At 40.3% G+C, this 13,671-nt stretch overlaps 1 protein-coding gene across 4 annotated transcripts in view; it reads left to right on the forward strand.

The window, feature by feature from the left end:
- The window catches only part of ARHGEF28 (Rho guanine nucleotide exchange factor 28), a 315,795-nt gene that overhangs the window by 143,103 nt on the left and 159,021 nt on the right, over positions 1-13,671 (forward strand). For all 4 annotated transcript variants that reach the window (NM_001080479.3, NM_001177693.2, NM_001388076.1 and 1 more), the window contains 3 exons: positions 4,557-4,740; positions 7,218-7,398; positions 11,378-11,447. In NM_001080479.3, coding sequence (NP_001073948.2) covers positions 4,557-4,740; positions 7,218-7,398; positions 11,378-11,447 — 435 coding nt within the window. The remainder of the gene's footprint in view (positions 1-4,556; positions 4,741-7,217; positions 7,399-11,377; positions 11,448-13,671) is intronic.

Consider the following 13,671-nt stretch of genomic DNA (forward strand, 5'->3'; position numbering starts at 1 on the left):
TCCTTTCCTAGTCACATTCTTCTCTTTTTCCTAACAGGTATTGTGCTGACTTTTATAGTAGCCATTTCCTTGCTTTTCTTTACAGTGTTACAACGTATGTATATATGCCTAAGTAATAATTTTAACTTTTACTCTTCTTGAACTTCATATTAATTGAAACATATCCTGTGTATTTTGTGACTTGATTTTTCCCTTTTGACATTATATTCATTACTTCCTTCTGTGTTAATCTGTAATTCATTTTGATTGTTAGAATATTGTTGTATGATTGCACTGCAATTTATTCCATTGATGAACATTAAGATTACTTTGAATTTTGACCATTTATATTTTTTGCATGGTTTCTTGCTAGGGTTTATAGGTAGGAATGGAATTGTTGTGGACTGGATTTGCGTTAGTTTCTCTGACTTTATTAGATAATGTTGCTGTGTTTTCCAAAGGGGTTGTAACAGTTTACATTTCCTCTAGCAGTGATTGTGAGTTCTGGAGACCTTGGTTAATTATTTAACCTATTTTATTATTTTTTAATAGACATTTTAAGAACAGGTTTAGGTTCATGGCAAAATTGAGTGGAAGATACAGATATTTCCCATATATTCCCTGCCCCTACACATGCACAGCCTCCCCTATTATCAATACGCCCCACAGAGTGGCACATTTGGTTATGATCGATTAGCCTACATTTGAGAGGTTAATTTATTCTTTAATCTTCCAAGCTAAGCCTTTGGCTAATTGAAAGGTATGGCCAGATCTTGTGTGGATATGGTAATGGTTCTAAATTGACCAGTAACAAAACCACTTTCCTTTAGTAACACTTAAACTGTCTGACCTTCCTTGCCCTTGTGCTTCAGATGCCTGGAAGCTTTGACCTGTGCTGTTTTTGCAGATAGTAACCATAGAGTTAGGACAGGATTGAATACTCTTAGGAACCTTGGATCTTTATTGTGACAGACTCATTTCATGGGCAAAGAAACTGATGCCCGGCAGAGTGAGAAGCACAAACTCCACACTCCCTTCCTATCTGGGGCAGTTGGACTCCTGTTATGCAGTAAGGAATGGCTTATTGAATGGCACAGCCTGTTCAGTTCCTTTTTGTGTCTTGGTTTTCATGCTCTCATGATGTTATAGGTCGTACCTTTTAATGTTTGCCATTACAGCAATTATTAGTAATTCTGCATTGGTTACATTAGTTCAAATAACTCCTGGCACCAACCAAACAGGAAGAGACATTTATTTAGTTTAAGAAATTATTTTAAACACTCCCACCTCTGCCAAATTGTATAACCTCTTTCCACAGTTTGTTTTGCTGGCTGCCGTTAAGAAATCTGAAACTCTATAACAGGCAGAATTATTTATATATGTCATGATGCTTCCTATTTCAAGCTGTTTGCCTCGCTCTGCACTCTGAACTTTCATACTGAATGAGAAAGCTCTCTCTTACAACATTTTGGTCAGTTTTTATTTGTTTTCTTTAAACATCAGAAGATTCTCTCTTCCCCTGCCTTACCTCCTCCCCGGGAAGTGGGTAGATTCTCAGAAAGAGAGGCAACAGTGAGCCATTCAGGCCTGCATGTTTACTGTTCTCTCTCATTGAACAAGATGTGAGGATGGAGCCAGAAGGAGAGAAGAGGGAGCTGGATTAGCAGAACAAGCTTGGAGAGCTCTCGTGGTAGAGGAAACAGATCTGCCCACACTCACACTGTTGGTCAGGTTGAATACAGTGAAATACACTCCAGGTTCAATGGTATTTAGGGCATTGCACCAGACATGGCAGAAAGTGTTACTTAAATTGATACCATGCTTTCCTTTACCAATGGTATAATTTGAAAAGGGAACACAAAAGGTTTAGATGTTCCCTTTTGATCATTTTTTTGGGAGGGGAAAGAAAATTACAATCCATACAACTATGGAATATTTCTCACTATATTCAGATTAGGAGATATGTCTTAGAAATTCCATCCGGGCTGGGTGCGGTGGCTCATGCCTGTAATCCCAGCACTTTGGGAGGCCAAGGCGAGTGGATCACCTGAGGTCAGGAGTTCAAGACCAGACTGGCATGGCCAACATGGTGAAAACCTGTGTCTACTAAAAATACAAAAATTAGCTGGGGGTGATGGCGCGCACCTGTAATCCTAGCTACTCAGGAGGCTGAGGCAGGAGAATCACTTGAAACTGGGAGGCAGAGGTTGCAGTGAGCCAAGATTGCACCACCGCACTCCAGCCTGGGCAACAGAGTGAGACTCCATCTCAAAAAAAAAAAAGGAGAGAAATTCCATCTTAGTATGCCTGGTTAATATCTCATGCTGACAGGTTTTCCTGTGTTGGGGAGTACACATGCACATATGTGTGCATATGTATATTTGTTACCTGATCTTAACAAGTCTATTCCTGGTTATTATTTAAAAAGGAAGAAAAATACAAATATTATCCAACATTTTAGATACCCTGCTGGGAATCTAAAAACAAAAACCTCACTTTTTATTCAAAGGAGTATAATGGTCAAAAGTTAAAGGATAAAATAGTCAAAGATAAGTTCTCTAATAGCTAACATAGTTTTTTAATTTTCATAAAGCTGAAGATATCAAGTATATTAAACAAATGTCTGGCAGGAGTGTATTGCCTTGTCTGTTTTTAGATATTTTGGTATTTTGAATGTTATTTTACTGAGGGGAAGTGTTCCATGTCACACAGATGATTGATAGAGTAAATATACTGGTAAGTTGGTGGCATTTCACTGTGATGAGTTCATTTACATATTTTAAGTATAATGCCTTACATTCATTGATCTAGCTATCTATATCTCTATAGATATAGATATATAAATAATTAAAAATGTAAACTAAGCCTTTTATTTGCATTCATTTATGGTGGAGTGTTTCCTTCTAATTGTTTCAAATTAGAGCTTTGTAGAAACCTGGCTTCCCAAGTATCATCATTACCACAGCCTGCAGGTAGGACAAAGCTGAGTTTATTGCCTACTATGGTATGGGAGAACACCACCTCCACAGGGCCTTAGAGGTGTCTTGAAGGGGGAGCTGTGAGGTGAGGTGAGAATTTATTGAGAACTTGAAGTTTGGCTTAATGAGGGTCTTTTTTTTGAGACAGGGCCTCACTTTGTGGCCCAGGTTGGCATGCAGTGGTGCAATCTCCACTCACTGCAACCTCTGCCTCCTGGGCTCAAGCGATCCTCCCACCTCAGCCTGCTGATTAGCTGGGACCACAGGCGAGTGCCACCATGCCTGTTTAATTTTTGTATTTTTTGTGGACAGTGGGTTTTACCACATTCACCAGGCTGGTCTTGAGCTCCTGGGCTCAAGTGATCCTCCCGCGTTGGCCTCCCAAAGTGCTGGGATTAAGGCATTAGCCACCACGCCTGGCCTTATAAGGGTTTTTAATGTTGGGGATGGTGGTGGGTGGGGCATGTTGGACAGGAAAGGAGCTTGATCAGGACTCGGGAAGGATCATAATGTAGTTAAGATTGCTTTTAGGGTTCAAACTGCCTTTTATTGGTTTCTACTGAACAGTTGGTTAGTCTTGTGGAAGGTTCCTATAATGAGCAATCATTCATTTGCCTGGGCAAGTGGCTCCTGGAATAGTAAAATTGTGCTAATGAAGATAATGGAATAGTAAGATAGCGTTAATATGGACAGGAAACTGTGGAGAAGTAGGTCATTTTGTTCTCAGTGTCCATTTTACAGTGAACAATTCAGTGTACAGACTATTCAAACTAAGTAATTTAAATACACACAAACCGTAGAGATTTTAACAGCCAATTGTCATTCAACTCCTCAAATGCTAAATGGCTTTCATTTGCCAGATACTGTGCTAGGTATTAGGAATAAAATACCTCAAGGACCCCTCCGCCTGGAAGATGACAACAGAGAGCGGCAAACACCACAGTGGAGCTGATGCACACGGACCGACCAAGGGCCCTCTGTGCAGGGGCCTTACAGGTCGAGCCTCCTGAGCAGAGCAACGGGGTGGCTTTGGCAATATTGACATAATCTCAGGGATTTAGTAGATGGGTAGAAGCACTGCTGTGAAGTTTGAGAATGACCCATATGAAGCCATTTCTCTTGCGGCTTCTTATCAGGGGAGGAGCGGCTCTGAGGACAAAGGGTGGAAACGGAAGTCCCTCTACAGTCTCAGCCTCTAAAAGCCTCCCTGCCTGAGCAGCAGGATCTCCTCAAGGAACTCTTTGCATATCAACAAGTGTCTGTTTCCAAAGGATGGTCCTTTCCTAGAACCTGCTTCCCTAGATGACTGCACTGCATGTCTAGTGAAAGATGACGTGAATGTGTAGTGCAATGGGTGGAAAGAACACTCTACCTGTGCTCAGCGGACCTGGCCCCAGCACCTACTGCCTACCTGGGCATTCACAAAAATCTTGAACTCTCCAAATTTGTAAAATGAGATACAGTGATTGGGTGCCATTGTTAATTTCTTCCAACTCTGACATTCTTATTATGTCTAAATACACTGTCCCTTTGATAAAATGTGTAAAACAAACTTTGTAAATGGAGGAACTAATATGGTATGTGTTTTTTCCTCTTCAGTATCTTCTCACAGAGAATCTCTTCTACACCTGGCTATGAGATGGGGCCTGGCTAAACTTTCCCAGTTCTTCTTGTGTCTCCCGGGGGGAGTCCAGGCCTTGGCTTTACCCAACGAAGAGGGTGCCACACCATTAGACTTAGCTTTACGTGAAGGACACTCCAAGCTGGTGGAAGACGTCACAAAGTGAGTTTAGCTACTTGATAGTCTCTCTCTTATTTGTATAAAGTCGGCCAAGCATTATAGAAAAATGGAAATAACCAAACCACAAGCTAATGTTGGTTTATGTTTTACTGTTAGCTCTCATGCATATATATAGATCATATAAACAGATATACTGGGATAATTGGTATTAATGTTTCATGAGGGTGAGATAGGAAAAAAGGTCTCAAAAGGCTCTGAAAGGAGTGATAATGAAAAAAAATTGGGGAAACACTAGCATTTAGATTTCAGCTTAAATGTCAACCCCTTCTGTGTTATTCTCTTTGATGATTATGATTAATTCAGAATGTTAAATAAGAGTAACATTATGACTAATTCACAATATTATAATTATATGTGTGGTCATTTGTTTCATATATATCTCTTAATCATTTGAGGTCTGGGACTATTTCTGTTTTACCCATTGCAATGCTCTAGTACAATGTCCAGCACATAATATTTGTTGAAAGGATATAAATCTTTTTTTGAATCAATGAATAACAGACAAATGCTATGGTATGATTTAGTCAATTTGGTGGTCATTATGGTCTAATGAAATAATGTAAAGGAAATAATTTGTAAACTATAATGTTCTCTGTGTTAATGAGGGTATCAACACTTCCAGTGAATAATGAGTGTATTGTTGGTTACTTAGAAAGGTTCAGGTCAGCCATTATTCTTAGCTTATGAAAGAAGGATTCATATATAGTGATTTTTTTGACTTAACGTGGTAAAAAACCAAAGTATAAATGGGAAAGTATGTTGAAAATTACAACATGCTACATAAATATTAACCATTGTTAGAGTAAATGCTACATAAATATTAAATATTATTAGAGTATTATTATGTGGCATGTTCAAATGGACTGGCTTTTCTTGTTTGGCTCATGGAACTCAATGTAATTAATTTATAGTTATGTAGTACATAAGTGGACATTAGAGTAGAAATCAGAGCTTTTGGTTTATTTTTGTTTCTCATTTGATCAAATGACCATCAGCCAAGGGGCAAGCCTATCTGGAGGGAATTGTCCTTTTCCTTGTTTTAACATGACCCCACTTCCTTGGCTAAAAAGGGCAAGGCAAGAACACTTCCTTTGACTCATTCATCGTGAACAATTCTGTGTTCTACTGAGGTCCTAGAGGCACACTTCATCTGTTGGTAGCTTTGTATCTTTTTACTGTGTCCAAGACGAGAAGATACGTGTTTTAAATGTTTCCAGGTCTAATAAATCCATTCATGGATGGGATTAGAAGTAGAGTGTAAGCTAAATTCTGGTGATATGATGATAGAGCTTCCATATTCTAAATTAACAACAGTGACCTTATTGCTCAGGTTCAGAGACCATTCATCTCAGTGGCTTGTTATTGGCATGGGGAGTTGTTTTCTGGAAACTTCTGGAGTCCTTGCCAGTAATGAGTGTCAAGAGTTTGGAGAGGTCCCCCAAGACTTAGAGTAAAACTGTTCTTTAAGGATCTCTTTTTGTCACTCCATCTGATGGAGATAACATTTCCTTCATTGGAAATATACTATATTTTTGTAAAGCAAACATTCATTAACAAAATTAGGTCATGTTAAAAGAGGAAAGGGGCATAGAGCTAGTTCTGTGAATTGAGGAATCTGGGAACAATCTGGTGGGATGTGACATGCTGAGGTATGCTGTAACCCAAGAACATTAATATTTCCCCTTGAGGTTTCTTTACTGTTACTATTACAGGACCTTATAAGCCATCCAGAATATTGCGATACTAACCATGAAGCCTGAATGTAATTTACAAATGTACAAATGTTCTCAGCCAAGATATAACAGAAAATAAGTGTATATTCAAGTCTTGAATATACATGACTCTCCAAAAAACACATAATTTGAATCAACACAACATTTAGGTTGGAAATGTCGTTCCTTTGTGTGTGAGTGTGTTCAGAAATACAACATGATCAAATTTGTGCATGTTTTAATTTGCATAAGAAAGAATTTACAACAGTGGTACCATGTGTTATGAATATCTCACTTATTTATGACATCCAAACCTCACCATGTTCCCTGGAGATCATATCTGTTTTCCACAGTAATCACCTAATAAACCACTGGCTGCCAGCTAATTTGTTCTACTACAGGTAGCCCCATTAAAGTGAGAGGCATCTTTTCAGATTAAAAGGAGAATGAAATGTTGAGGTAAAGTACTATGTTTAAAATTCAGTACTGTTTCATTCTTTATGTAAACCTTTAAAGTATGTAGTATATGTCAATGGTTTCCAATAGACTTCTTCTCTAGGTGGAAAAAGAAAGATGGCTTTATTAGTATCTGTTTTTATGATCTTATGTATTTATTGCACGTAGGTGACTTTCAAGGATCATTTTGCCAGTTGGATTTGTAAGATCAGGGGCAGTGATCCTAAGGGCTGGGATCCTGGGGCTGGTGTCTTTGAAGCTCTGTGTGGGTTTTGATTTGTGTTGTTTCAGTTTTCAGGGCAGATGGTCCCCAAGCTTCTCCCGAGTGCAGCTCAGTGAAGAAGCCTCCTTGCATTACATTCACTCATCGGAAACGCTGACCCTGACCCTGAACCACACAGCCGAGCATTTGTTGGAGGCAGATATTAAACTCTTCCGGAAATACTTTTGGGATAGAGCCTTTCTTGTCAAGGTTTGTACATAGTGATTCTAGCATGTGATAATGCATGCTTCAGAGAATGCAGGCATCAATTTCTTATTATGAGAACAGTGTTTTTTGGGGGTAGGACTTTTTTTAATGAAACCTTGGGGGACATGAAATTGGAAACTGCATTAGATCAGTAGAATGAAGATTATTATATATTTTATAGGAGTTTGTATAATATTTTCATTTTCTTTTCTGAGCCAGTCTTTTCCATAGTTGGGTTTTAATACTTTAATATTGGATATTTTCATTAATTTATTGATTGTATTATAATTATTATCTAAAGCAGTTACATTTAGGGCTATCTTACATGTATAATATCTACTTCTGGATTATCATATTGCTCAAATGTAGTTAAGCATTTGTTCCAGTGCAGAATCCAGTACAGAATCCAGTACAGATTCTGCTTGAATGGAAACAGGTAAAATCCTAGTTCTTTTCCAAAGAGGTTTTCACCTTCCCATCATGGTCCAAACCCCACCTTTGGGTGCTATCATAGCATGCCAGTCTCAGGGTTTAAAACATTTCAACTTTATCTCTCTTTTTTTTTTTGGTAGACTTTGAAAGAATATTAAGAATATTTCCATCTTTTAATTATGATTAATCAAGGTGTTATTTTGAGTAAGGCTTGAATAAGGCTTGAGTCAATCTAGTTGGCAGTGCTCCGGGGTCTATTGAACACACTAACCAGATCCTATGGCCTCCTGTGTTCTCAAGCACATTCCTTCACAAGACACAGGTCTCGTGACTATTTAGGCTTTACAGAGTAAAAAGTCAGCTTAGAAAACCAATATTATCATTGGCCACAGTTTCAGCTTTTGTAGAATATTTGCTTCACATAATTGAAATAATGAGTTAGCCAAAAACATTATGTATCAAACAAAGATTATTATTGGCTTACTCCATATAGAGTTTTATTTAATCAGTTAAAATAAAACATGGTCTTCAGAGTATGATCTTTCTCTCTTTGCTGGGTTTTAGGGAATTTGGTGTGTAATTTTCTGACATACAGCATCACATCCAGTATATACAGAATGAGGGTCTTCTTTTAAGGATGCTTGTCATTTAAAACTGCTCAAGCTGGCTGGGCGTGGTGGCTCACACCTGTAATCCTGGCACTTTGGCACTTTGGGTAGCCGAGGTGGGTGGATCATGAGGTCAGGAGATCGAGACCATCCTGGCCAACATGGTGAAACATCGTCTCTACTAAAAATACAAAAATTAGCTGGGCGCAGTGGCATGCGCCTGTAGTCCTAGCTACTTGGGAGGCTGAGGCAGGAGAATTGCTTGAACCCGGGAGGCGGAGGTTGCGGTGAGCCGAGATCGCACCACTGCGCTCCAGCCTGGTGACAGAGCGAGACTCCGTCTAAAAAAAAAAAAAAAATGCTACTCAAGCCTTCAGCCATCACTGTGGTTTCTCACCAAAGCACCAAGTGGTGGTTATTCTGGCTGGGCAGACGCTTGGTTTTGCCAGCATCAGTTCCATGGGGGCAGAGCTCAGCCAAGTGCTTTTCCTCAGAAGAGATGCTCAGACAGCGGCATGGCACTTGGTGACTATCCTGAAAAGAACAGAACAAACTCTATTGAACATTTGCTTCATTATAAAATCTTCTAAAGTCTTAGGCTAGATTTGTGATTTCTCATATACATTTGAGATAATACTGATGACCTTGGGGAAGATTTATGATGAGTAAATCTAGATACCTCAATAATTTATTGGAGTGGACTTTATAATCACAAAGGCCAAATGGAGATGGCTCTCCAGTTTCTATGAGATTTTCATCTTATGAAAAACACTTGATACAAGAATCAGTTAGAGTGGAATGGCCTTATGTTCCAAGTTTCCACATCCCTCTTTTTCCTTCCTTTCTTGAGGTGTATGGCTGATGTGAGCAGAGAGACCGAGAAGGAAGGGCTGAGAGATTCTTTATGGCTTCCGAAGACCTTAATTCTTACTTGCCTGACAAAGGGATTCTATTGTATTCTTATCTAAATTTTTTGTGATGCATATTACTTGGTTAGATATTATTTTAAATATAAGCAGGTGGTAATTATTTTATAGGTTGTCCACACTGAAGCTTTACAACTTTGGATGATAAATATTATGAGATTACATATAGATTTTGTATAAAAAGTATTCCTGCTTTATTGAATCTTATCTAAAAGTCTGTTTTTATATGACAGCTATAGATGGTGACTTTGATTTGAGTGACTGATCTGTACTCACTGAACTACAGCCCATACTCAGTCTTCTCCAAGGGGACATGTTTAGTCTCCGGGTTTGGGCATTGCTTAGTTATCTGTAGTCCTGTAGAACAATGACAGTAAAACCTTGCTGTGGAAACCTGAGTTTGCTTTACAATATATAAGAGCTCTCCAGGTGAACCCAGTCAGAAGCCATACTTTCAGAGTTGTAAAGGGTTCATACTTTCGCACTACATTTCAATTGACAGTGATGGCCTGACAGTTTCTAATAAATATTAAATGTTAAAATGGAAGGTGGTGCTAAATATCCAAACTGTAAAGACAGAATATTAGGAAATTAAATAATAGGCAAACTCGTAGCCGTATCTTTTAATCACTTTTTAGTTATTTCCTCATAACAATCCAAATGCTGATAATTTCACTCCACAGCTTGGCTAAAATTAATAAGCAGCTAGGAAATTTAAGTTTTTCAAGGTATATTCAAAATTACTTATAAGGATAAAAATTAAGTTTGAATATATTCTATTTTCAAGAGAAAATAGCGTTTCCTTATTTCAAGTTTTGTTGTGTAATCAGAAACCAGCATTGCCTTGATGTTCTTTTCTCACATAGCCTTGGCGACTCTCACTCTCTTCATTGAAAGACGGGGGGTCAGGGCTAAGGTTCAGCCCAAGTAGACACATGGGGCAGGTGGCTGGCTGTCTTAGACCTTGAGCCTGTGTGGTGACCCCTCCTCCATCCTTGGGTGCTTATGTGGCCATCTCATCACTACCCCTTAATATGGACCTGCCCTGGTCCAGCCACTCATTCCATGGTGGGCCTTAGAAGAGAACACAGTGTCCTGGAAGTGGGGCTGGGGTGAATTTACAGCCCATGGGGGGTGGGCAACCAGGCACTTGTTGCTCCCTGCCTGTTTGTGGTTTGCTAAATTGTATATATTTTTATATTCCTTTTACTCCAGCTGCAGGGCATTGTTCCTAAGTAGTCAAAGAATGAAGCACCCAATCCACGGGGCTTAATGACACGCCCAAGGGGATAAGGGACCTATGTCAGTTATGTGATTACCTGCCCAAGTATACTGATGATTGATTTTAGAACCTGTGCTGGGGGTGTCTTGGGCTGGCTTACTATTCAGCACATCAATGCATAATTCTGTGTTTCTTCACATTTTCACTGGCTGTGGGGAATCTGTCAAAAGGAAATTCGGATGGTCCCAAGAGGGCAACTTTTCGCTAAAGCCTTTTGGAAGGCTCATCAACTTAGTTTCACCCAGGGCCAGCCTGCACCAGCGTGTGCCAACCTGCAGCTCAGGGCCCATGGTCATCCTGGATCTTCCTTGTGATCACGGTCCTAGCCCCTCACCTGGTCCTCTGAGATTCCTGTGTCTTAGGATGTGGATTTGGTCTGCTCCAGGTGGCAGATGCACAGGCCAGAAGCCCTTCTTTCTGGCGTCAAGATTTTCGGTTCTCTTTCTGGTACATGCATGATATTCCTGAGAACCTTCTGCTTGGTGTGACCTGCAGAAGCAATAAAAGATTAGTGGCAGGGACTTTGGCCCCTGCCTTGGAGTTTCTCCTGACTTTGCTCGCCCTCCTGCTGGGGTGCTGGCTATATGTTCTCCCAGCGGCTTTCACCCACCCTCTATTTCCCAACCTCCTAGCTCTGAGATCATTGATAGTGACTTTTGCCTCTTTGTTGTATATCTGGAACCTCAAATGGTTTTCTGTGCTTTTTTGTTTTTTTTTTCCCCATTGTTTCCTAGGCCTTTGAGCCAGAAGCCAGGCCAGAGGAAAGAACAGCTATGCCCTCCAGCGGTGCAGAAACTGAAGAAGGTACGCATGCTCCTTTCCCACTTATGGCAGCCACAGAGTGCTCTGGACCAACAATCTAACCAGTCCGTTGAAGTGTGTGGTGAAGCCGGCCAGGAATCAAGGGGCTCAGAGGCAAGATCAGGGGTGTGGGATACAGCAAAGCCCCTGGGTCCTCGGACAGCATCAAATGAAGTATACTGTTTGTTTCCACTCTCCATTTAACTGGAATGTCCTGAGTGCTGTTTGCCGGGACCTGGGCCAGGTCCTCTCGCATTCCTGATCTTCAGGATGCTCTCTTGACATTCTGATTGTTCTCCTCATTCAGCTTGTTCATTCATTGAGTCCTTCATTCTATCATTTGTTCTTTAGTTTCTTCCACCTTTGTGGATCTCCTACTTTTTGCTAAGCAAGGATACTCTGGAAGTCATGAAGGAGTTTTTGTCATCACGAGGGTCGGGGGACACCACTGGCATTTAGAATTGAGGCATCAGGGCTGCTGGATGTTCATCAAGATACAGAACAGCCCTATGCAACTAAGAGTCGTCCTGTACAGCTGTTTACAGTCCTGATGGTGATTCAGAGACGGCATGTGTGATTCTGCTTGTGGTGGAAGTTCATAAAAGAAGATATATTTTTTATAATACATTGTTCCTACTCTATTCCACAACATGCCACATGGAATCATTCTGATGCCCCACTTGTGCATAATACCTAGCTCATATGCAGGAACATCATCATTCCTCATTTTCCTCAACTTGACAGTTTATCTATGCATGCAATTCTTACTTCATTTGAGGTTACTTCTGCTTTTCCATATGCAAATTAATTTTGGTCTTTTAGTAAGTTATGGTAATAAACAGAAGTTTTCATTCTAGGAAGCATATTTTTGCATATTCCTGTATTTCTTGTCTGGAACAGATCCTGATTTTGTGTTTTCAAAACCCGGTGGTTGCAAAAATCTAACCACATTATTGCGTCTCCTAGGGTATTTAGGGTAAAGGTTTTATGCATTGAAATACATATTATCTTCTTATCAGTTACTCTCCATTTGCTTCATATTTTAGTTAGGATATTATATTGATTTTTATTTTTAATTAGACATGAAGATAAGGTTATATGTATCTAGGGGGTAGAGTTATGTGATCTACTAACTCAATTTCAAGATAGTGAAGGAAGCAACACAAAATACCTGTTAATGTAAAGGGCATAGGTCTGATAGGGTTGAGAACCACCAAGCTTGATGCTGGGGCTAGGGAGGAAAAATATGACAAGGCGCTTGTTCCTAAGCCACCAATGTTAATAGCTGGTCAATACTTTTGATTCTGCTTTTAACTGGCCTCACAGAAGAGTTGGATTCTAGGTATTTGTCAGATACTATGATCTTAAACTCTTTACCTGCATGTTTGTTAAAAAAAAAAAAAAAAGTAGTCTTGGCTGGGCACGGTGGCTCACACCTGTAATCCCAGCACTTTGGGAGGCCGAGGTGGGTGGATCACCTGAGGTCGGGGGTTCGAGACCAGCCTGACCAACATGGCGAAACCCCGTCTTTACTAAAAATACAAAAATTAGCCAGGTGTGGTGGTGTGCACCTGTAATGCCAGCTACTCGGGAGGCTGAGACAAGAGAATTGCTTGAACCTGGGAGGCGAGGTTGCAGTGAGCTGAGATTGCGCCACTGCATTCCAGCCTGGGTGACACAGTGAGACTCCATCTCAAAAAACAAAACAAAACAAAACAAAACAAGATTAAAAAAACTAGTGTTAGAGAAGGCATATTTCTGGTGAGTTGCTGAGTCTGTGTGGCCCATCCCGACTGCATATGTTCCTGGGTTAAGCCCGAGCAGCTGAGCCTCCTCCTCAGACTGCACCTTCTTGGAGCCCAAGGGAATTGCCTTTACTATTCTCCCCTGTGGGTGACACTCGCTACTGGCTGTGTTGACGGAGCCACTCTTTACCCTGCTGCCCAAGAAGGTGGTGGGCACTTTGTGCTTTCTCCTTGAAGACCTGTAGGAGAAAGCTCTTTCTGGTTTTGTATTGGGAACACAGCTTCACCTGAGTGCCTGGCTCAGCTCACTTTTACTGCTGTACCTGTAGCCGATCAAGTTTCTTACTTCTAGCTTTCTGATAAACTTGGAGCTAAGTTTCTGGGCACTTGATTACAAGGGCCTATGGCAATGCTGACTGCATTTTTTATATTACCTTGTTGCTTATTTAAGCCTCTGCCCTTACTTTTTCTTTTTTAAAATC

The sequence above is a fragment of the Homo sapiens genome, chromosome 5 (assembly GCF_000001405.40).
Source record: "Homo sapiens chromosome 5, GRCh38.p14 Primary Assembly".
Lineage (NCBI taxonomy): Eukaryota > Metazoa > Chordata > Mammalia > Primates > Hominidae > Homo > Homo sapiens.